The sequence below is a fragment of the Homo sapiens genome, chromosome 3, assembly GCF_000001405.40.
Source record: "Homo sapiens chromosome 3, GRCh38.p14 Primary Assembly".
NCBI classification, from domain to species: domain Eukaryota; kingdom Metazoa; phylum Chordata; class Mammalia; order Primates; family Hominidae; genus Homo; species Homo sapiens.
Genome location: NC_000003.12, coordinates 171185487 through 171210712, shown reverse-complemented (window position 1 = coordinate 171210712; position 25226 = coordinate 171185487). Strand labels below are relative to the sequence as shown.

General features: G+C 37.4%; 1 protein-coding gene across 8 annotated transcripts in view, besides 4 other annotated features; it reads left to right on the top strand.

The window, feature by feature from the left end:
- TNIK (TRAF2 and NCK interacting kinase) overlaps positions 1-25226 on the top strand; it is a 401995-nt gene that overhangs the window by 249696 nt on the left and 127073 nt on the right. For all 8 annotated transcript variants that reach the window (NM_001161566.3, NM_001161565.3, NM_001161562.3 and 5 more), the window contains exons 5-7: positions 16078-16188; positions 19926-20016; positions 21881-22011. In NM_001161566.3, coding sequence (NP_001155038.1) covers positions 16078-16188; positions 19926-20016; positions 21881-22011 — 333 coding nt within the window. The remainder of the gene's footprint in view (positions 1-16077; positions 16189-19925; positions 20017-21880; positions 22012-25226) is intronic.
- Positions 3844-4453: an enhancer, noted in NCBI's record as "OCT4-NANOG hESC enhancer chr3:170924049-170924658 (GRCh37/hg19 assembly coordinates)". NCBI's record gives its function as "activates a minimal SCP1, AML or CMV promoter by ChIP-STARR-seq in naive and primed H9 embryonic stem cells {active_cell/tissue: H9 hESC(naive and primed)}" and the evidence as "EXISTENCE:reporter gene assay evidence [ECO:0000049][PMID:30033119]".
- Positions 4138-4317: a silencer, noted in NCBI's record as "silent region_14891". NCBI's record gives its function as "represses an Ori minimal core promoter by ATAC-STARR-seq in GM12878 lymphoblastoid cells {active_cell/tissue: GM12878}" and the evidence as "EXISTENCE:reporter gene assay evidence [ECO:0000049][PMID:35858748]".
- Positions 20974-21023: an enhancer, noted in NCBI's record as "active region_20808". NCBI's record gives its function as "activates an Ori minimal core promoter by ATAC-STARR-seq in GM12878 lymphoblastoid cells {active_cell/tissue: GM12878}" and the evidence as "EXISTENCE:reporter gene assay evidence [ECO:0000049][PMID:35858748]".
- Positions 23433-23960: an enhancer, noted in NCBI's record as "NANOG hESC enhancer chr3:170904542-170905069 (GRCh37/hg19 assembly coordinates)". NCBI's record gives its function as "activates a minimal SCP1, AML or CMV promoter by ChIP-STARR-seq in naive H9 embryonic stem cells {active_cell/tissue: H9 hESC(naive)}" and the evidence as "EXISTENCE:reporter gene assay evidence [ECO:0000049][PMID:30033119]".

The following is a 25226-nucleotide window of genomic DNA, read 5'->3' as shown; positions in this document are numbered from 1 at the left end:
AGAAAAAATGAATAAACTGTTCCAAAGTCTACATAGCTAGCAGGGATGGATCTAGGATCTAACCAAGCTCTATGCGATTCTCTGTCTATCGCTGATGAGTGGGCGACTGAAACATAAACTTTAACTCTGTAAGTAAAATACCTAATACAGTGTCTGGTACCAAGTAGGGACTCTGCAAAGGTTGTTTTCCTTTCATGTTTCCCCTAGTCCACTTAGGTATGTGCCACAGTCCTTTATCTTTGACAGTCTAAGAGGCAGCTCTAATTGGCTGTCCCACCAATGAGTTTACTGTGTTTGATACCAAAGCCTGTTGCTGCTGTGCGGAGCCTTCCTGGTTTCTGTCCTTGGAACTTTTATTCACTTAGTCCTTCAGCAAGATTATAATGCTGTATTGGTTTGGCCTTCCCTTGCCAATTTTATAATTACCTCCCTAGTATGGGCCCATTCAGTGGAAGCCTGGACTTTACAATGGCCTCCTATGTGTTGATCTACTTTTCTTTCACTCTTTCTTCTTCCCTCTACCTTCTGTCCTTCCGTCCCTCCTTCCCCGCTTCCTCTCTCTCAATTTCTGTTCATCCCACATGTCGTTGTTATATTAATGCTTCTAAAAATACCTTTTTAACCTCTTACTGTCTTGCTCATTTTCCAGAGGTTTTGTATGTGCCTAACACACAAAATTTACTGAATTAGCAAGAGCCTACTATATGCCAAATACTGTGCTGAGCTGTGTGGATCCAGTAATGGCTATTTCATGGAGAATTCCCAAAGTACTCAGCCTCGGGCAGAAGTAACTATTTTAATGCATCAGACATTTCCAATCCAGTGGGGAAGACAGAATATAGACAGTGAATGCAATCAGTGACCAAAAAAGATATAAAAATGTTAGCTCATAAAACTAACAAGATTTTCATGTCATTTAATATGAGTACTCAATCTTTGGAAATGAAAAGAACCATTGGGATTTTTTTTTTCCATAAGGCTCATCTCCAAATTTAAAAGAAAAATTATTTGGGGGTAAACACATTTTATATAGTTTATATAATTCTAAAAAAGTTACAGTAGGTTTTAATTGTGGCCTCTAAATGTATAATAGATGTAAATATGAAGATTCAACATATAAAAGTAGTGGGAGAAAATAAATATGACTGGATAATCCTAAAGAGAGATATATGACAACAAAGGGATACACCATAAAATATAATTTTGATGGACTTGACTATATACATGTTTTAAATGTCTTCTTAACAAAAAACATAAAGTAAAAATGCAAATAACTAAGTAAAAATATTCATTTTATAATATAATGAGCAAAGAATTTAGCAGCCTTCAGAGATGAAGCATTTTTATAAATCAATAGGAAAAACATGAAATTACTAATAGCAAGATTGAGTTAAGGAAATGGTTACAACCAAAAAAGTAAGCAATATCAATTATCAGTAAAGTTGTATTAAAAGCCTATTCTTACTAACAATAGAAATCCACAAGAAAAAAATAGATACCATTTCTTGCCTAGTAGGCTGTCAAAGATTTTTTTTTAATTATAATGTCTAGAATGGACACTCATACCCACTGCTCATGGAATGAACACTGGTCCAACTTAAGGGCAGTTGGCATACACACACACACACACACACACACACACACACACCCCTTCCAAAGCAAACACCTTACTTTTGACTCCCTATTTTCACAGGCAGGAATATGTCCTAAATCAGGTCACTTATTTAGGTAACTACATAAGGATGTATGTAGAAGTTAACCAATAGGGAGTCACTTACGGGACATTGCAGACATTTAAAATGATGTAGCTCTGCATTTATAAATGGATAAGCATTAACAATTTTAGTAGGGGCTGGGTGCGAGGGTGGCTCACGCCTGTAATCCCAGCACTTTGGGAGGCTGAGGTGGGTGGATCACTTGAGGTCAGGAGTTTGAGACCAGCCTGACCAACATGGTGAAACCCTATCTCTATTAAAAATACAAAAAAATTAGGTGGGCATGGTGGTGGCTGCCTGTAATTCCAGCTACTCCAGAGGCTGAGGCAGGAGAATTGCTTGAACTTGGGAGGCGGAGGTTGCAGTAAGCCGAGATAGTGTCACTGCACGCCAGCCTGTGTGACAGAGTGAGACTCTGTCTCACACACACACACATACACACAAAAATAAAATAGGACTTTGTAAAGCCTGTTGAAGAGGTTATAATTAGATATAGTATGTTTTCATTTTTGTGGAAAAAATACGTAGTAACTTGGTGGGGATATCTGATATAATGTATACTAATTGTGTTGAAAATATTTGAGGTAGTAATTTCAGTAATTTCATTTTAAAAGCATTTTTCTTTTTTACATCTGCTTTTTTTTTCTCTAATCTTTCTCTTCAGTACATTTTTTTTAGAGACAGGGTCTTGCTCTGTCCTCCAGGCTGGAGTGCGGTGGCACCGTGATAGCTCACTGTAGCCGTAAATACCATAGCTCAAGCGATCCTGCTGCCTCAGCCTTCTGAGTAGCTCTGACTGCAAGAGCACGCCACTATGCCCAGCTAATTTATTTATTTTTTTGTCTCACTTTCTTGCCTAGGCTGGTCTCAAACTCCCAGTCTCAAGCAATTCTCCTGCCTTGGCCTCCCAAAGTACTGGGATTACAGGTGCAAGCCACTGCACCTGGCCTGAAATTTCTCTTAAGTTCAGCATCTGAACCCTTTCTGCTGCTGCTTTTGTTATTGCTACCACCGGGCTGTTCTTGCTCCTCATAAAAGACTGTCTGCTCTCTGAGGGCAAGGATTGTGTCTTTTGCTTCCCTCTGCAGCATTTGGAAGGCACTGGGTAATATGCTGACAAAATCATTGGTTTATGAATGAAAATTATATTGTTAGAACAAAACCTGGTTGCAACAGGTACTTTTGAGAGCTCAGATTCCCTGAGGCCTGCAGATTCAACAGGATATGATGGGGTGGCATGAGTTAACATATCTTTGTGTTTCCAAAGGACTTCTACATTGTCAACAATTTAGCATTTTAGCAGTGACTCTGAATTGCCAGAAGCTGCAGCAGATGACACGTAGAGAATGATAGCTATTATCCTCCAGCTCATTATCAGCACCCTGGAAGTCCCCCTTGCTCTCCCTCTCAATCACTGCCACCTCAAGGAAAACGGGTATCCTGACTTTTTTTCTCCCAGTTGTATTAAGATATAATCAACAAATAAAAACTGTATATTGGCTGGGCATGGTGGCTCATGTCTATTATCCCAGTACTTTTGGAGACCAAGGCTGGGAGGGTTGCTTGAGCCCAAGAGTCTGAGACCAGCGTGGGTAACATAGTGAGGCCTCATCTCTACCAAAAAAATTAAAATTTAAAAAAAAAGAAAAAGAATTTGTATATTGTTGGTGAGGATGTAGAGAGAAGGGAACCCTTGTATGCTGTTGGTGGAAATGTAAATTGGTACAGCCATGTGGAAAATACTACAGAGGTTTCTGAAAAAATTGGAAATAGAACTACCTTATGATCCAGAAGCCCCACCTCTGGATATATATCCAAAGGAAATAAAATCAGTATCTCAAAGAGGCATCTGAGCTCCTGTGTTCATTGCAGCAATATTTAGAATAGCCAAGGAATGATAGCTATTTTATAGTTGTCTGTAGAAAGGTGTTTTCTTTGGTCAGGGCTATGGTTCTCAATTTAAAAAAAAAAAGCATTAATGTAGATTTATAACCATCTCCCAGCATATCACCTGAGCTAGAACAGCTATTTCTAGATGAGCCACACCTAGCTATTAATTTCATTCATTTTGTGAGATGGGCCAGATAGAAAAGTTGGTTTTCATGTTAAGTTGAATTATTAAAATTGGGGTAATTGGGGTGTTTATTTACGAATCGTTGGTTGAGGGAAGGAGAGGGGTGGTTAATAGGGCTTGACTCTTTTTCGCCCTTTTGCAGATCCTGAGATGTTTTAAGTTGGAAGAAGAATTAGTCATGATAAACTTTGCTGGGTCCAGTGAAGTTAATTGACTTTCCCCGGGCCTCAAAACTCATTAGTGGATGATGCAGGACCAGATTGCAGACATCCTAAAACATAACACTTTAGCTTGGTTGGAAGTTCTGTGAAAGCCCCCTGGAAGTTTTTGTTAAAAACTGAGCAAAATCTTCAGTCCATTTTCAGATAGGTACTTGGAGAAAGCAGCACACCTGCTGGCATCTGCATGGTGTTAATGGGAGGTATTGTACTCTGGAAATGAGTCACTTCCCACTAGTTCTCACCCTGGCCAATTGCTCTTCTCATGGAGATGGCTGTTGTTGCTGGGAACCAAAAGCCTGATGTGTATGTGTTCATTTATTTACTCCCCAGTCATTCATTCATTCTTCCATATATATATATATATATACACGAACATATATATCTCCATATATTCATTTATTTGTCTGTGTGTACATACATATGTATATGTATATATTATCATATCATCATATATATACATGGCTAGTATAGATACATATATATACTGGCTAGGCACAAGGCACTCTTCCAAGCACTCAGGATATAACAGTGAACAAAATTTATGAAAGTACTTATTTTAATGCAGCTTACATTCTTGCTGTAGACTACAAACAATAAACATAATAAATAAGACAATTACAGAGGATGCTGGAAGCTAGTAAGTACCTGGTGGAGTACTAATTGGGAATGCAGGTAAGGGTTGCAATGTGTTATGGACTAAACATTTGTGTGCCCCCAAAATTCATATATTGAAATCCTAACTTTCAATGTGATGGTATTAGGAGGTGAGGCCTTTGGCAGGTGATCAGGTGATGAGGGTGGAGCCCTTATAAATGGGATTAGTGCCCTCATAAAAAGAACCCAGAGAGCTCCCTTGCTGTCTTTCTGAGAAGTTAACAGTCTGCAACCTGGATCCAGATCATTCAGGGCTTTGCAGGCCATTGGAAAGACCTCGGCTTTTACTCTGCATTAGGTGGGAGAGCCATGGAGGGTTTTGAACATGGAGTGAGGGGGATGGGATCTGACCCACATACTGAAGGGGTCACTTCAGTTGCTGGCTTGCGAATAGACCAGATGGGTCAAGGAGAGAAACAGGAGACCAGTTAGGAAACTGTTTTAGTAAGTGAATCCCCTTCCTGAACTTGATGAAGGGGGGATCTGCAAGTAGTGAGCACTTCCAAACTGGACCACATGGGGAGGAATTCTGCCATCACATTCAACTTACCCCACTTCAATTAAATGCAATTAACTGCAGGTAACAAAATGTGGAAGTTACAGCTCCTACATTCTGCCAGGTTTGAAGGACAAAGGGCCTAGCACTCGTCAGACTCGCGTCTATGCAGAGGGCTGCTCTGACCATCCCTTCTAGCAATTGTCTAGTAGCTTCTTTCTTACCAAAGATGAAGATAAAAGCTATGAAAGGCCTCATAAGGGCAAGAGCGTCATTTCTTTTCCTAGTTGATTGATGTGGTGACAAATCAAGAAAGAACTAGGAAGAAGAAAGACAGAAACATAATAGTTAGGAAATTAATATCAGATTACAATATTGGTGGGAACACAGTCATAGAATATAACAGTACATACTTATTCCAAGGCCTCTGACTCACTAAATTTGGGGCATTCTCTGTTAATAAGAACAATGGTAGGAAATATTTATCACCTGCTTACCATGGGCCAAGTACTATGCTTGTTTACTTTGTCATATTATCTTATTAGATTTTTGCAGCCATTCTGCAAATCAAGTATTATCCCTACTCTGCAGATGGAGGAAACTAGGCTCAGAGAGTCCAGAAGTTTGTCCAAGGTCTTATAGCAAGTCCGTGATGAAGCCAGCATGCTAGCTAACCCCAAGCTGTCTGATTCCAGAATCAAGCCCTTAAACCCTACACTCTTCTCCTTTGGTCATGAAAAATAGTTCTGATATCAGAAGCTGATGTTCTAAATAGGATTGAAGATTTATGTTTAAATAAATTTAGTTTAACTTCACCTTTAATCTGTACTCCTCTATTTACCCAATATTCAAAGAGCAAGTAAGACCTGTTAGCTACTAATAAGAGTGCTGTAAACTCTAAGAAATACATTTTGAAAAGTGCGTTAGGTGCTTTGGGAATGTTTTATCAAATAATTGCAAAGGTCATAGATAGTTGACTCTTCAGACTAGTGGCATTTTGTTAGGATTACGTTTGTATAAAAATATTATGAATTATATAGAGGCATGGCCTAAAGCAACTAAAAGCAGCACTTTCTAACATTTATTCTCTGTATTCAGACTACATGAAATATTCCCCAGATATTTATTTTGCTATGGCTGGAGGACAGGTTTGCATATATCCCACTAGCCAATGTATGTCCTGTTTCAGGTGTCTGATTGAATTATAATCTGTACGAATCCTATCAGTCTTGTTGTAGAGATAAACTCTTGTTTAGCACTAGCTCTTTGTGGAAATACAACTACTTCAGATAATGGCCAAGTAATTCTCCTTTATCAACTGCTCAGGGTCTGATCCGGAAATCAAAAAAGGGAGCCCTTTCAATAAAGATTCTGATCTCTCGGAAACAAGGCAAGCTCTGACACACAACATCTCATTCTGCTGCCTATCAGTGATGAGAGGCTCTCCATTTTGCTGCATGCCATTCAGACACTGGGAGGGAGGGAGAAATACTGTTTAGTAAATTAACTAATTTCTCAAAAATTACAATGTGAACTCACACATATTTTGCTGTCTTTTTTGATACCACCATAATACAGGGCTAGAATATCTCGTAACAGGAAATAAATTTGTAATCATCTTCTGAAATGTAGGGTGGTCAAGTAAGATAGCAGATTTTTGCCCTGTAGCGGCTCAATAATCTATTCATCAAGTTTTCACACGGTACACTTGCAGAGCCAAGACTTAAGAAATTATACCGTGTGCGTTTTAAGGACAAAGATTCTGACAGCCTGGGAATCTGGAGACCCAGAGTCAAACCTCGGGAGAACCAATGTGTCTGGCATTTGGATTCTACTTTATAAAAATGATAATATTAGACTAGTTCTTAGTTGGCAAACTGGCAGCCTAGAGGCTAAATGCTGCCATGATAAATATGTTGAGTTTGGTTCACATAAGGTGGTGGTGGTTTAATTATGCCAACATTAGAAAATTTGAGCAGTTTCACAGAAAAGTCTGGATTCTTGAAAAGTTTTGAAAAATAAAATGATCTAGAAATATTGGGCCTGAAATTTCAAATAGTAGCAGTATTTTAGAGCAGTGTACCAGCTGTTTAGAGGGCACATATCAAATTTGCACCAGAGGCCCCAACATCCCCTGTTGTCTTCCATACATACTCAATTTCATGTATTCACATTACTTGCCCAGCCCCTGTGTAAGATCGTCTCAGAATAAGATACTGGGATGAACTAAGAAACAAACTCATTCAACTACCCATGAAAGGTCCTTTTTAGACTCTGCATTGATGTTGGCCACAACTCCTAAACCTAATTCTGCAGTATTTTGGATTTACATTGTTATAGCGTCTTGGCTTGGTAAAAATAATGCCCACTTCAATTTTGATTGTTTTAACATTTAAATGTTAGGTACTGCAGATAATGCCATTAAAAATTTAACCACCCTTGTGTGACGTGGAGGTTGTAGGAAAAAAAAAAAATTAACCACTCATAGCTGAATCCTTTGAACAGTTAAAATTTATCTTTTGTTAATGCTGTGTATCAGAAATGAGGCTTTTAAAACTTGTTTTGATTAGTGTTTGTTACTTTTATAAGTAAACAGCTCCTTTCCTTCATATACAGAGCCTACGTCACTTGTCTGGAGGAGTTATTTAGTCTTGTTATTTGTGAGCAGAAATTTTTAAAAGGTTGAATTTGGCAAATATAGATATGCCTAACATGGTAAGAGGAATGATTGTAAACAGTCTCCCAGTTTCAGAGCTGCCACATTGCAAGACCTATAGAGACACAAGGTAAGTTACGTAGATACAAACACAGATCTGAAGCTACACGTAACTTAATACCTTGCAACTGGTGTGTGTTGAGCTTTAATAGAGCTATTTTATGAATTAATGGGTGATTCTTTGATAAGAATGTGCAATTGATCTCTTCTTTTGTCCCAAAGAATTTCATTTGAACTTTGTTTAAACTTCTTTTCATCTAAGCAAAAGGAAGACTTGATATGTACCCAAAGTTATTTTGCTAATGGTCCATACAACCCTTTTGATTCCTTTTTTTAGATAACTTTTGAGCCAAAGTCTATGTTCCTATTTATATTGTGTTTCTCAAAATCTTCAGCAATCAAGATGATTAGTCCTAAATGCTCTAAAGCTAGCAATTTATTTTCTTTTCCTATTTTCAACCTGTCTGAAAACTGGCTCACCATTCCTCACCCCACATTCTTCTATTTGGGTGTAACATTCCGAGATGCAGAGTTGCAAATTTCTTCAACCTTAAAGTTAGCTTCTATGATTGGATCTTTGGACAAAATTGACATGTAGTGACTTACTCCTACCAAAAAAAAAACATATATATATGCAGAAAATTTTGCATTCATACTGTGGAATTTGAGTCCAGACACCAAATACAAGATGCAGCTAATGTCCGTAACGTTTCTTTAAATGCTATCGTACTGACTCTGGGTTGTCTGTCTCTTGAGACATAGGCGACTTGAGCATTTGTAGTGGGCCTGTCCTTTGGGCAGACTTGTTGTTGCTAAAAATACTAGTTGGCTCGGTATATTCAAACTGTCTTTGCCATGTTCAAGGTAGAGAGTTGTTCACTATCCAGAAGCTTTATTACAAAGTCTAGGACACTTCCCATCCTTGGAACTCATCTTTTTGTCTTTGGAAGTCTTAAAATTTATAGTTCAAGCATTCTCTTTCCCAGTCGAAAAATATAATTCAGAAGCCAAGAGTTTATATATAGATAGATAGATAGTACATGCTAGTTTAAAAATGAATGTAAAAGGCCATTAAAGTTGCTTTTTAAGGTTTGAAATCCCCAAGCTTTACTTCAATTGATTGAAATGATACATGTATTCAAATGTATACCTACCAATTTTTGTATTTTGTATTTCTATACACACATTTTATATTTTGAGACTTAACCTACCTTTTGCACATAAAGCAGCCTTCTGTACCAAAGTTACTGAGTTTGGACTTTGTTTCCACCATCATAAATCATGCAGATGAGATCTGTGGTTATTTTCAGCCACACATGATGAAAATACTCTGTGCCTCATTGATGTTTCTGGGTTAAATCTTTGCAGAATTGTGTTCTTGGAAGTTTGTTCTTCCTATTATTTATTTTTATTTATATTTATTTATTTATTTATTTTGAGACGGAGTTTCGCTCTTGTTGCCCAGGCTGGAGTGCGATGGCTTGATCTCGGCTCACCACAACCTTCGCAGCCTGGGTTCAAGCAATTCTCCTGCCTCAGCCTCCCGAGTAGCTGGGATTACAGGCATGCACCACCACGCCTGCCTAATTCTGTATTTTTAGTAGAGATGGGGTTTCTCCATGTTGGTCAGGCTGGTCTTGAACTCCTGACCTCAGGTGATCTGCCCACCTCGGCCTCCCAAAGTGCTGGGATTACAGGCGTAAGCCACTGTGCCCAGCCCCTATTATTTTCTTAGGGTGCCTTTTAAACTGCTTGGTGCAAACCCTTCTCACTTTAGGAAGACCTTAATCTTCCCGCTTGCACCTCTTCCTGCCCCCTGCCTCCAACCCCTCCTTTTACCATAAAAGAGAAGGGATCTGTTAGTAGTCATTTATTCTTGTGGGTGACTGACTAGTGACATTTGGGAGGAATTAGTTCCTGTCAGGGTATTCTGGGTAAGTATCTGCAATTGTGAAATAACATCCTAAGAGTTCGTTTCTCATTACAGGAACTTAAAACCAATAAACTAGCAAGGGAGTGAATACTTTAGGGACCCCAGGAATCATCCAAACCTTTGACTGCCTTTGAGACTAAATCTTTTAAAATTCTTTTAGAGGTTATTAGGGCAGGAAAGGGAAGTTTAGAAGCCACCACATCTGGTGATTCCATGCTAAAGGCCCCCTGTCTCTTGTGAAGAGATAACCTCAAGCGCTGACTCAGTATTCTGAAATGTCTTCTGGAATCAGCTGAGGCTGAGGACCCTTTACTTAAATATTGTCCTGGAGAGGGGAGAAGCACAGGAAGGCATACTAAGTAACCCCTGACCAACCTCTATGAGAAAACATCCTACGAGAAACATGACAACTGACAAAAACTGCTGACAATCAACCATGCAAATTGTGAAGTGTCAGAACTCTTTGGCTTTTAAAAATTAACCTTTGTTATTTAGATAGTAATAATTACCCATGTCTAAATAATCCAAGCAATTCTTTTCTCTAATAAGTTGGTTGCTCCACACTGTGCTTTTTTTGGACACCTCCTCCAGGCTCAGGCCTAGTCCTCATCCTGCCCCCAACCACCTTCAACTTGACCTTCCTTCTTTCTTCTCAAGTGGTATGCATGTTTATTTAAGTTTCTGACCCAGTTATTTATTTAGGCGGTGTTGAGTGAAAATTTCAAATGTTAGATTCCTTTAAAATTCCTCCACCCCCTATCACCCCTGCCTTCCAAATAAAAAGATCCATTGCCCTGGAATGCACCACTGTGTCTTCTTGCTGTGTGGTACAAATGTAAAACAAAAACAAAAACAAAAACATGTGTCTCTGGTGCTTTTTCATTAATAGAGGTTTTAGAAAAATGTGCCCAGTGCCTTTTACAAATATCTTTCAGCCCTGTCTCTTCACCATCCAAGTGAAGTGGACACTGGGGAGGTATTGATGCTATCTTCCATGTCAGAAACTCTTTCTTTTCGCATTTTTATAAATGCAAAATAGACCAAAGAATAGAAACATCATAAATACATCTTGAGATTTTTGGCTGCTAGCAGCATTATATCCATAGTCACAATTAATGTTCACATCAAACCTGTAAGGTTGATGCTTTTATTTTGTATTTTATCATAGTGGTAGTGGTGGGGAGAGAGACATTGCTAAGCCCAGGGTGGTTAGGGAACATACCCAAGGACACATAACTAGTAATTGAGAGAGCAACGTGCTTTCACCCTGCTCAAGTTACTTAATGAGTGTAGACTATGGATAAAGTGCAGACTGTAAGCTCTATTTCCAAATACAGAAAAAGGAAGTTAGGTGAAGAAGAATTAACGAAGCATTTGTAAATCGCTTCACCCAGTGCCTGGCACATGGTAAATTCTCAGTAAATGTTAGAAAGTATTATTATCCCAGTATAAACTCTTTGAGAACTTTCTTTCAGGGAGAATTTTAATGACCCATTATTTCTTACTAGTGAGATGTGAAGTTATTGACTTATCACTGCTGAGCTTGGCATGTTGAGCTCTGTTTCTGTTTATTAATGTGATGAGGTTACTTATGGGGAGGGAGGATCCCTGCTGTGTGGTGGCGGTAATTATCAGCATTGCTGTGTGGCTGTAGGAACCAATTGCTAGCAAGTGCTGTTTTTTTTCTTTTTTTTTTTTAAATCCCATTATATAATTTAACAATCATTTTGTTCCATAGTGAGAGGAAAAGAATTTAGCAGCCTTCAGCTGGAGCTGAATGGGAAAGCAAATTATAGAAATCACTGACAGTAGTGCCTGGCTAGAGTAGGATTGTTTCCTACTGAATATTTGAAAGTATGTTGTCCAATCTAATTTTGAAAGACTCGAGTCACTGGGCTTCCATTGCCTTCCTTGGGAGCTATAATTACATGGCCTAATAAAGCTCAGTGGTGGGACATTTTCCCCAGCTGATACAGGAGCAATGGATGTATTCACAGGAGGCCTGGTCAATGTACTTTTCAAAATGGGATTTAGAGAAGGGACACAAACATGTTTTGCTCACTCGGGAAAATATTCATTTCCTGCTATCAAAAGATGTTTCTTTGGTCCATCCTGCTGGCATTGAACCCTGATTTGCTATATAATGGGACTTTCTTTAACTTTGTATTGTGGAGAATCCTAAAAATACACAAAAATAGGCAGAACAGTATAATGAACACCTATGCACCCAAAACTAGCCCCAACAGCCTTTAATCAGTGGCCAGTTCCACCCCATCCACATGTCCATCTATGTTGCCCCTTCTAGTTATTTTGAAACAAAACATGTCATTTTTTAAAATTTTGGTAACATAAACATAAAATTTACCTAAATTTTAACTACTTTAGAATGTATAACTCATTATCATTAAATATAGTCACAATGTTATGCAACCATCATGAGTATCTAGTGCCAGAACATTTCCATCACCCCGAAAGAACACTGTGTACCCATTAAGTAGTCATTCCTGTTACCCCCTACACCCAGTCCCTGGCATCCACTAGTCTGCTTCTGTCTCTATGGATTGCCTATTTTGGATATTTCATGTAAATGGAATCATACAATATATGGCCTTTTTTGTCTGGCTTCTCTTTTTTTTTTTTTGAGACGGAGTCTGGCTCTGTCACCCAGGCTGGAGCACAGTGGTGCAATCTCGGCTCACTGCAAGCTCCGCCTCCTGGGTTCAAGCCATTCTCCTGCCTCAGTCTGGCTTCTCTTTTACTTAGCATAATGTTTTACGTGATTCATCCACATATCATGCATCAGTATTTCATTCCTTTCCATGGCTGAATAATATTTTATTGTATGGATATCCCACATTTTGTGTACCTGTTCTTCTGTTGATAGACATTTTGTTTTTTTCTGCTTTTTGTCTATTGTGAATAGTGCTACTTTGAACACTCATGTACAAGTTTTTGTTTGAACACCTGTTTTCAATTCTTTTGAGTATACTTCTAGAAGTGGAATTGCTGAGTCATGTGTCAATTCTGTGTGTAACTTATTGAGGAACCCATTAACTGTTCACCGCAGTAACTATACCATTTTACATTACCATTAGCAATGTATAGAGGTTCCAGTTTCCCCACATCCTCACCAATACTTGTGATTTTCTGCCTTTTTTCTTCTTAAATTAACATCCATCCTAGTAGATGTAAAGTGATATCTCATTGTGGTTTTGGTTTGTATTTTCCTAATGACTAATGACATCAAGCCTTTCTACATGTCATTGTTAGCCATTTGTATATCTTCTTTGGAGGAATGTCTATTCAAGTCCTTTGCCCATTTTTAAATTGGGTTGCTTGTCTTTCTGTTATTGAGTTGTAAGAGTTCTTTATATATTCTGGATAGTAGACCTTTATCAGATATATGATTTGCAAATACTTTTCCCATTCTGTGGGCTGTCTTTTCACAGTCTTGATAGTGTCCTTTCATTCACAAATGCTTATAATTTTGATAAAATTAATTTTTTCTTTTTTTTTTATTTTGGTGCTTGTGCATTTGTTGTCATATCTAAGAAGCCATTGCTAAATCTAAGGTCAAGGAGAGTTACCCCTATGGTTTCTCCTGAAAGTTTGATAGTGTTAGCTCTTATATTTAGGTCTTTGATCCATTTTGAGTTAATATTTTTGTATAGGGTGTGAGGTAAAGGTTTAACATCATTTTTTTGCATGTGAATATCCAGTTGTCTCAGCACTATTTGTAGAAGAAACTGTCATATAATTTTATCCATAAGTATTTCAGCATTTTTCTCTAAAAGATAAGAACTTCTTTTTACAAAACTACAGTACCATTATTACACTTTTAAAATACTGGCCAGGTGTGGTGGCTCAACGCCTGTAATCCCAACACTTTGGGAGGCCGAGGCGGGCGGATCACAAAGTCAGGAGATCGAGACCATCCCGGCTAACATGGTGAAACCCCGTGTCTACTAAAAATACAAAAAAATTAGCCGGGCGTGATGGCGGGTGCCTGTAGTCCCAGCTACTCGAGAGGCTGAGGCAGGAGAATGGTGTGAACCCAAGAGGTGGAGCTTGCAGTGAGCCGAGATCGCGCCAGCCTGGGTGACACAGTGAGACTCTGTCTCAAACAAAAAAAAAATTAACCAGATTTCTTGAGTATCATCAAATATCTAAGTCCGTATTCAGAATTGTAATTATCTCAAAATGTGTATATCTTTTTTTAAAAAAATTAATATCTAAATAAGGTGCACCCATTGCAATTTGTTGGTGTATCTAAGTGTTTTTAAATCTATAAGTTTTCTTTGCGTCTCTTTTTTTCTCCCTTGCAATTTATGTGTTGAAAAAACTCTTTGTCTTGACTAGTATCCTGGTCTAGATTTTGTTGATTGTATCCTCATGATGTTACATGTTCCTCAGTCCTCTGAATTTCCTGTAAATCAGTGGCTGGAGCTAGAGGCCTGATCAGGTTCAGATTTCTGTTTTTATTTTTGGCAGTACTACTTCCTAGGTAATATGCGTTCTTATACCAAAAGGCAAATTCTATTTACTTTTTTATTTATTTATTTTTTTCTATTTACTTTTTAAAATGTTAACAGTCATTGATGATCACTGCCTGAGTCTGCTAGCTTATTAGGAGGCACAAAATGGTGGCATTCTTCTACTATGTCTTCTTCATTTATTAGATGGAATACCTACTTTTTTATGAACAGAAACTTTCCCTCTTTTATTATTCAACTACCCAGTGGTAAGATTTGTATTAAAAAGGCAGTATAGACTCTTCAGTCTTTCCTTTTATTTGTCAGCTCTTAGTTAGTTTGTTATTTTTTTCTAACAGTGCCAGTCATATTCTTTGGGTGGTGGGGGATGACCTTGTTAAGGCATTTAATTAAGCACATTTAAAGTGTTTCTACACATTACAGCTATTATTCTTATCTATGCTCAGATTATCCCATCTTTCACCACTGGGAGTCTCTTGAAATTGAATCCTTTTTGACATGATTTTGTGGTCTTTGATAGTTTCTGGGCTATTACATATTGTAATTTCCCAACTTTTATCTGGTTGGAATGTAGTCTACTTGTGGCACTTCCCAAATTTCCCTATAAGCACTTATAGGTCTTGAAACTTCCTTGGCTTCTTGGAGAAGGTGGGAAGGTTTCCCTAGCCGTTGTGGAATCATAAGAAGACAAGTCAGAACAGGCTTTGGAAACTCACTCATGAAATGAGTTTCATGAGATTTTATTTAGTTTCTATTAGGTATACAAAGAAAAAGAAAATATAATTTCTGCCTGAAGATTTTGGAGCCTGATGAGGTATCTTTTAGGACCTGGAAACATAGTGCTGATATCAGGAATGTAGATTTGGACAAAGCCAAAGCCATCAATGTGGTTTTATTGTGGCTCCATTTTAGTTCTGTCTCTACTACTAAGTCAGGAATTGATTGCTAGTTATTCTGAATTCTTTTCATATAATTATAAAAAATATATAAGTACCTAATAAGGTGATCTTTGTTGAAGATATTTTTGAAGGTAAAAGTCTGGAAATGGATGTGTTTTTCTAAGCCTAGAAAATGCATGTAAAAGCACATAGATGGCTTTTTTCTCAAATGGTCTCTACATCCCCATTGAGTAAGGGTGATGTTTATTTTCTGCCTATTTTATAAGTTGCTAAGTAGTGTAATGAGTTTATATTTATAGAGTGCTTGGAGCTTTTGCATGAAAGGTGCTAAATTAGAGTTTATTGTTTATTGAATTTATTTGATGTGTCCAACCTCCTGGGAACATTCGCTGAAGTTAATTAAAAACAGATAGTTCCCACACTGACAGCTTACAGTGCCACTTACAAACCAGTAACATAAACAGTGTGCACTTTTGTAACCCTAAGTTGGGACACCTAGAGAACCACAGTTCTTTCTGATAGGGGAATAATCCTACTTTTATGTGAAAATTTGACTGCTGAGTTAAAACAGAGATATTCTCAATTTTGTCTGAGTCACCTACCTACTCCCATTAAAAAAAAATACTTAGAATATGGAGAGTTTCCTCAATTTTCAAATATAACTTACAGGTTGAAAAATTTAAAAATAATGTTTCCTTTATATCATTTTGGGAGTACATGAAGGTAAAAGCTTGTGTTTTATATATTGTTTTATGATAACTTTTTCTTTGCAGGAATGGCATTCCAAAGCAGCCAATTGCTTGTGCTTTCTTACCCCAACTTAATGGAAGCAGTGAAGCATCATTAAAATAATGGCTTGTTTGCTTCCTTTGCCAGTTGGTGATGGAGTTTTGTGGTGCTGGCTCTGTCACCGACCTGATCAAGAACACAAAAGGTAACACGTTGAAAGAGGAGTGGATTGCATACATCTGCAGGGAAATCTTACGGGTAGGTTACGAGTGGGGACTGGCCCACCTCCCAAAGTCTTCAAGCAACACATGATATCTTATGAGGGATTGAATTTTTTTCTGACTTTCTAGTGAAATTCATAAGCATATCAAAAACCCTTTAAAAGTTTATCCTATCAGTGGTGGTGGTGGTGGTAGTGGTAGTTTGGTGTGAAGGTCTGCTCTGATGGAAGTGAGCGCCATTCTGGAGATAGGCCATGAGCATATTTTCATTTAGGTTGACATTGGGTGATTTCTCTTAACAAGGGATTCATTTTCAATGCTGTTTCCAATTAGAAACCTGATTTTAGATCATAAAGACAGTGTTCCACTTAGGAAATGAATTATTTTATGAGATATTTTAATCACTCATTTAAGTTATCTGTTTGTGAAAGTTCACAATTAATATATTATCCCTAATGGTGTAATACCTTCCCACCATATAAAGTTTATAAGGATTGTGTGACTTTAGTCATTCCTATACATACAACCTAGTTTAACCGATTTTACCTTTAAAAAAAATCTTTGTGACCTAATCACTTAAACTAATCAAAATAGCTGAACAAGACTGCCTGTTTGCCCAGTTTTCCCACACATCCCCCAATCAGGAAATCTAGACAATAGTATCATATTTGCTGAGCTGAGTTCAGGAAGAAGAAAGTAACTGGGCATATTTTAGTTCATTCAGACTAGCTTAATCATCCCTTCCTACTAATATGGAGGTTATTATATGTCTACTGAGCATTCTTATTAAATCTTCCTGGCCATTGTTATTTATTTATAAGCTCTGCCTTCTTAATTTAAGGCAACAAAAGTTAAAACTTTTTTACTGTGTGTTCAAGATATGCCTTTGAGAGATAGATTGTATGCTTTGGGTGGATGGATGAAATGGATAGAAGTTAAAAAAGAAGGAAGGCATAAGAAGACGATGTCTGTTCATTAAATGCAAACCAAATTAGGCAAAAGGCAAATAGAAAATGGAATTTTAAAATTATAACATTGATGTGAATGACTTCTATCCTGAAAACTACAAAATATCACTGAGAAATATTAAAGAAGACCTTAATAAATGGAGGTGTACATTATTTCACAGATTACCCAATATTCTAAAGACATCATTTCTACCCAGTTTGATCCATGGTTTCATTGAACTTCCAATTAAAATTCCTATAGGTATATTTGTGGAAATTTATAAAGCTGATTTTCAAACATTATATAGAAATGCAAAGGGCCAAGAATAACCAAGGCAATCTTGAAGAAGAAGAGCAAAGCTGGAGAATTTATGCTACCAGTTATCAGGATTTATTATAAAGCTACTAATAAATTAAGACAGAGTAGTATTGTTACAAGATTAGACAATGGCCAAAGGAACAGAATCAAGGGTCCAGGAACAGACCCACATCATATGGATGATACCTGGTCTGTGTCAAAGGAAAGGGTTCTTTTATCAGTAAATAGTACTTGATCAATTGAATATCCATAAGAAAACATGAAACCTGACACCTGCTACATACCATATTCAAAAATTTATTCCAGCTGGGTTATAGATATAAATGGGAAAAATATAAAAATTAAAGCACTTAAGAAAAAACACATACATCCATGGCTTGGGATAGGCAAAAATATAAATTATATGTTTTGTGTTCTTAAACAGAACATAACACAAAATTTGAGGGGAAACAAGGAGGCCTGGCTGCTGATTTCCTTCACATCTGACGTTTATCTCTGTTTTGATGTGCCATTGTGCAAACTTACTTTGAATTTCTGACTTAAAATTTTGCTCATTCAGATAGAGCATAATGGATTATTTAGTCATCCTGACCACTCAGTGGCTGCCAAGAACCTGTCAGGTCTCTAGGGCTGGTTCTGCCCAATATGCCTTTCTGCACTGCTGGGGAACCCTACAGAGGATCAGTCATTTGATCTAATCTTCATGGTTCTAAAAGCAGCAGGGATGTTTCATCACATGAGCATCTCTCAATACCTTTCACACATTCTCAATGTGTGGAAACAATGGCTTTCCTCCTTTTTCCAGTATATTCTCCGAAATGATACCAGCATTTCAGACATGACTCACTGGAAGAGACATTTGATCACCCAAAGGTCTCTGGCCACAAGAGGTTTTGGAGGTGACCTCCATGCATTGTATGATCTCATTAAAAGAACTTTTGGCTCACTTCCATGCTCTGGTATCTGCTTTCAACCACTTCAGTAGTGAAAGAGGGAAAGGGATCTTCAGTCCCTCTCTTAAGGATTTATGGGGTACATAAATTTTGTGAAAACCACACATTTAAACCCCTGATGCCTACCCTGTGACAAACTGAACAGATAAGAAAGGCAATTTTTTAAGACCTAAACCAGTGCCTCAAACCCTTCTATAACATGGTTTATGTTTTCTGATATCTCTAAATGTATATGTGGGTCTTTTTGGACCTCTGTACTCTCATGCTGAATTTCTTTGACAAGAGAATTCAGATATCTAGGTTTGTTTCTTTTCCTGTCAACCTCATTTTTCATACCATGATTTTGTTGTTGTGGAGAAGATGAAAAGCACAAAAAATTAAAGGTAATAAAGAACACTCGGGGACCCGATACATTGAATTATCAGGTGTTAGCATAAAATAATTTGCTTTAAGACTCCATTTTTAGATTATTTTAGATTATAATTTATCTGAAAAATATATGACTACTTTAGAGTAAGTCTGTAGGTTAAAGAATTCACACCACAAAGAAGCCAAAAACAGAGTAATTCATGAAGAAATGGAACACAAACAGGTTTAGTTGTCACTGAATAATTCTCACATAATGAGCACAAAGTCACAAATAGCATAAACTAGCATAAACTAAAAATGACAGTGATGAATGCCAACAAAAGAAATAGAAACTGTATTCCTTTTTAAATGTAAGGCACAATGGGTAAAGCCAATGGGAAATTTCTTGGCTGGTCTGAGAAATATTTTACTTCGCTTAATTAAAATTGTATAACAAGGCCGGGTGCTGTGGCTCACACCTGGATTCCCAGCACTTTGGGAGGCCGAAGTGAATGGATCACCTGAGGTCAGGAGTTCAAGACCAGCCTGGCCAACATGGTGAAACCCTGTCTGTACTAAAATAAATTAGCCTGGCGTGGTGGCAGGCACCTGTAATCCCAGCTACTCTGGAGGCTGAGGCAGTCGCTTGAATCCAAGACACAGAGGTTGCAGTGAGCCCAGACCACGCCATTGCACTCCAGCCTGGGCGACAGAGTAAGGCTCTGTCTCAGTCAATCAATCATTCAATGAAATTGGATAACAGAATGTAAATTTTAACTTTTAAATTCAAATATCCTGCAGGGATTCAGTTAAATCAGGTTAGTTTTCTGTACAGAGACTGTGTAGATGGTTCTATTTTAAACTGTTTAAACTTCGCTTTTCACAGTAGTATTAACTGAAACTCATGTTCATGTTGGAACCGTATAATTACTTGTGTGGTTCCCTGATACCTGATAATCAGATCCAATATGCAAGCATTTCATTAAACACAGCACCATGCATTGCAAGGACTGCCTGGGTACTTTAATTTATATTGATGAATTGCCTACAGTTAGAAGAGCACTATGAGCACATGAAAGATGTGATTATAATTCTGAAAAGTATGTCTGGGTGAGTGTAAAGTTTTTGGATCCTTAACAGTCAAAATAATTTATTGGCATCTTGGCTTATGTTCCTATTAACCCTTCTTAACTCTCCATCACTCCAGGGGCTGAGTCACCTGCACCAGCATAAAGTGATTCATCGAGATATTAAAGGGCAAAATGTCTTGCTGACTGAAAATGCAGAAGTTAAACTAGGTAAGAGCAGAATCCTGTGAGCCTTGGAATTGCAGGAAGTGATGAGATTATATTAACAGCTCTAAAAAAATTAATGTTAATTTGTCACCGTGGATTTGGAGAGCATTGCCCTAAAAATGGAAAGGAAAATGTTTCTTTGCCTATTTTAAAAAATATTTTCTCAAGGCATTCTGAGGAATGAATTATATATAATGTGGGAACAGAACCACTTGCTTAATCAATATATAGAAATAATTGAGATTTTTTTGTTTCAGCAGAGATTAGAAGTGACAAACTTTGAAATGGCCTCCTATATCTTACAGTTTGTTTATACTGTTGCTGCTATAACAGAGCACTAGGACCCAATTTTTTTCCATTAAAATATACACAGGCATATTCAGAATAATCAATTCCTGCTATATTCCCATAGGTTTAAGTTATATTTACATTGATTTTGTTATTACCTTGGGCTCCCGTGCAAAGTGGATACTTAATATTCTACTTTAGGTGCATACTGATTACCCCCACTTCCATCAGTGGGAGAATCCTTCTCTTTGGCGTATCTGTTAGAGCTCTTTCCGCAACAAATCTGGGACTGCCCAAATAGAGAATTACCACATGCATTTGACTGCTTGATGTATATGAGTAAGAGCATGAATTGACAAATATCCAGTAGGATATGTAACTTGTCATCTAGAAAAGAATCGCTGTCCATATGATTGTATATTTTCAAAGAGATTTAAACATCTTCTATGTTTATATCCCAAACATTTGCTCTTCCTTTTTGTTGAAATATATGACTTCCATTTTTTTTCTTAGTTAACATTTGGGACCAAACTTTCTCACCTCATGAATATTCTCTTTTAAAAACAAAAGTATACATTATGTAGGCTAAGCAGTTATATATGTATCAACTAGATAAGCTATCCTGAGAGCATTCTTACTTCACTAATTAACAGTTACTTGTTGAGTATATATTATATGCCAGGCCCTGTACAAGACAATTTTCTATAGATTATCTCTCATAAACATCAGAGCAACTCTGTGTAGATGTCATCATCCTCATTTTACAGATTAGGAAACCGAAGCTCAGAGAGGTTGATCTACTAGCCCTAGGTCATACCACTAGTAGCGGCAGAAATGAGATACAAACTTAGGCAGTCTGACTCAGACTTTTGCTTTTAATCACTTGTCTTGTATCCCCAAAATACTACCCTTTCTGACAACCAAGCTTACTTTTTTTTAACACCTATTTTTGGTCCCTGTGAAGCCTTGGTGTAATCAAATGTAATTCTTTGTGCCTTCCTCATGGGTACACTTCATCCATTTCTCATGCAGTTTAAAAACATATTCACAATATAGAAAAGGTAGAAGCAACCCAGGTGCCCATCAACAGGTGAACAGATAAACAAAATGTGGTCCATACACACAATGGAATATTATTCAACCTTGAGAAGGAAGGAAATTCTAACACATGCTGCAACGTGGATGAACCTTGATGATATTATGCTAACTGAAATAAGCCAGTCACAAAAAGACAAATACTGTATGATTCCACTTATACAAGGTAGTGAGAATAGTCAAATTTATAGAGATGGAAAGTAGAATAATTGCCAGGGGTTGGGGCAAGGGGGAATTGGGAGCTATTGTTTAATAGGTACAAAGTTTCAGCTGGGGAAGATGAGAAATTCTGGAGATGGACAGTGGTGAAGGTTGCACAACAGTGTGGATGTGCTTAGTGCCCCAGAAATGTACATTTGAAAATGGTCAAAATTGTACACTTTATGTTACTTATGTTTTACCACAATAAAATAATTCACATTCATTTTATCGCTATCTAAAACCTATGATCACAGACTTTATTTACTTGTCTTTTCTTAAATAGTGGACTTTGGAGTCAGTGCTCAGCTTGATCGAACAGTGGGCAGGAGGAATACTTTCATTGGAACTCCCTACTGGATGGCACCAGAAGTTATTGCCTGTGATGAAAACCCAGATGCCACATATGATTTCAAGGTATGGCTTCTTTGTCGTGTTTCAAAACTATGCCTACCATCTTATCCTGAGTCTTATAAAGTCTTACATGCCCTTATATTTATGATTTATGTCACCCAAAGGGAGAACTGAAAAACATTATTTGAGTTTAAGACCTGTAAGACATTCAAGTGAGGATCTTTTTAATGAATTCACCCATCTTATCTGATGGCCTGTTTGTAAAAAATAAAAAAATAAATAAAAAGTTTAAATCATTTTCTATATTTTTTTAAATTTACTCTTGCTTCTTATTATTGGAAAATAGATTGGATTTCCATTTTGGTTATGGTTTAGATTTTTGGAAGAGTATATATTCTGATAGCTTTTTACGTTAAACTAAGATGTGAGTTTGTTGTCTTGGGTCATCTTTTTCTGATTGAGAATAATCTGACTTACTTCTACAATGCTCGAAGTATAATTATCTGGGGTTTCTTTTTCATGAGAGGGAATCAGATGGAATATTGGTGACTACTTTATGGTATTTCTGTCGTGTGGCCTGATGTTTCATAGAAATTTGATTTGTGACTTGTTACTTTATATTATAAACTAGAAATTTGCTAATACATTCAAAGCTGTGTTCAAATAGATTTCTCCAAGAAGCCCTTCTCTTTTCTATTCTGCTAGCCAATAACCAAACATAATTTTGCATTATTGCCCCTCAGGTTTATTGTCTGGACTTTCAGGTGACACGGCTTTCTAATGAATGGTGACTGAAAGTCAAGGCAATAAAATTAGGGGCAATGGGATCTAGGAACTGTGTGTGGGTTTCCAGGCTGTGCATTAGGTAGAGAGACACCCTGTGGTCTTTGTGTACATTACAGGACAACTTGGGCAAAACTTGATCTGCTTGGGCTGGTTTCAGAGGTGCATGGACTTTTCACCAAAACACTTTAATGATCCTCTGTAAATACTCTTATCTAACAGATGAAGAAACTGAGGCCGAGGTCTGCAGGTGCTCACCGGGTTAGCAATCCTCTCAGAGTTAGCACTTGAATGCAGGTCTCCAAACTTTCTGTTCAGAGCCCTTTCCAATATATTACCTTGCTCCTCTGTAATGTACTTCCATATAAATCTCCAATTTATCAATTGAACAGTATATTTGAAGAATATTTCACTTTTAAGGAATATTTTTAGTTCTCGACATGTGGGGTTATTATTGAAATCAGGTCTCAAAGATGCAAACATTGCAGCGTTTTTGAGGCCCCGTATCTCAGTGTTGACAGAAAATTTGCCTCTTTTGGGAATTGCAAGCTTGAAGGTCTGAAAACCTAATAATCTCCCATAAATTTCCTCCTTCCTTCAAAGTTAGTCACTGTAATAACCTGACAACAATCTGTCTGAAAACAGCTGCCAAGTTAAAAATTAATCTCCTGCCAAAATGTCATTTTTTTAAACTGCTAATGATAAGCATATTTAAATAATTCTGTTTGCAAATCCCTTCAGAGAAGCCACTACAAAATATACATCCCAGGCCAGATATGGGTATCATGATTAGCTACAAGCAATTCTTCAAACCATAGTTATACCTAACAAGTGCTAACTAGTCTACATCTGGGCCACAGATATTCTAGATTACTATGTAACATAGCATGGGGAAACAGCGTTTGCAGCTCTTACAACCTCAGCTTAATCTTTTAAGTATTGTGACTGACTGCACTATATATGGGACTTTTGTTATGTAAATAAAGTGGGTGCCTACAACTGACTTGTTTTCAGTAGGGTATCTAGAAGAGGCTTTCCTTCTGGCCAAGCCAAAGCTTGGAATTAAACTGATATTTTGGTCCTCTTTCCTCAGATTATGGCTAAGGAGTATAGTTTAAGATCACTGTAAATGGTGTGAGACCAGTGCATAACTCTAGGTATGGGCAAATCCTGTTGTATGAGTAGCCACAGAGGTCGTCATGCTGCACAGTGATTTCAGAGGTACTGGAAGGCTCACCTGGCTATAAAAGTATCCTGAGACATTAAAAAGATTGAAGATGAATGTCTGTGTGTTTTTTTAAAAAATAAAGAATCCTGATAGAATAGGTTCAATGGTGTCAGTCATTTAGACCTTAGTGCAAATTAGTTTAACAGGATTGTCAGGAATGTAGGTTGTGCAAGAGGAGGAAAAAGTCATGGCAGGGATATGAGCTTCACTGGTTATATGCCATGGGTAAAAAGAGGAGGATGACAAAAGAATGAATAAGGAAGACTTTTCTACAGAGGACTTTATAATATTGAATTATTTTAGGTTTTTAAAAAAATTCATAGTGGTCTTCAAAGACATCTTAGACAAATCAAATAGTAAATAATAAATAACAAAACCAAGCCATACCCTGTTGGGGTATAGTGGAAGGTTTGGGGATTCTTTGCAGATTTATTTAATCCACTTATACAGTTTTACTGTGGGCCAGAGAAGATGCTGATCTTTAAATAACCTTACTACTTCTTTCTTGGCACCATATATCATCCCCTTTTCTGTTCAGTATCCTTAGGAATGTAACCTGTCACCAGGGGACAACTTGACAATATGCTGACTTTCAAAATCATTTATTCATTCACTCAGTGCATATTTATAGACTATCCATTGTGTATAAGGAGTTAGTCAAGCTGTATCTGTACATGCAGTTTCTGATAGAAGGTTCATTTGAGACCCCATCAAAGCCCGAGGATTTCACTGTGTGTTTGGTGGTCCACTTGGCCCAGTGGTGTATCCCAGCCCCAGAAGCTTGATGTCAACACTTTGGGCCCTCATGTGCTATAGCCACTTTCAGCCGAGAGTGTGTATTTAGAATAAAGGATGACTTGGCCACCGGACTTTATTAGATTTCTTACCACAAAAGTCCTTTCTGTAAAATAAAGACAAGAAGAAAAAGAAAAAGAGTATAGCTTAGTTTTGTTATTTGATTTATTGTTTATCAATTATTTTTTGATGTGTCTAAGATGTCTTTAAAGACCACTATAACTTTTTACAAAACCTAAAGTAACTCAACGTATAAGGTCTTCTGTAGCTTTTTATTGCAGAGTCTGGTTTTGTGTGATATCTACTGGGCACAGTAAGTAACTCACTGAAAATAGACCCTCTCCTAAGGAGGAGTGCCAGAATCTCATTTGCCGGGTGTGCTGGCTTTCCCCTGGAGGCCCTTCCTTTCTTGTTTTCAGAAATTCTGTCAAAACACTTCAAGTGAAAGGAAAGGTTTCATTTCCCTGATAAG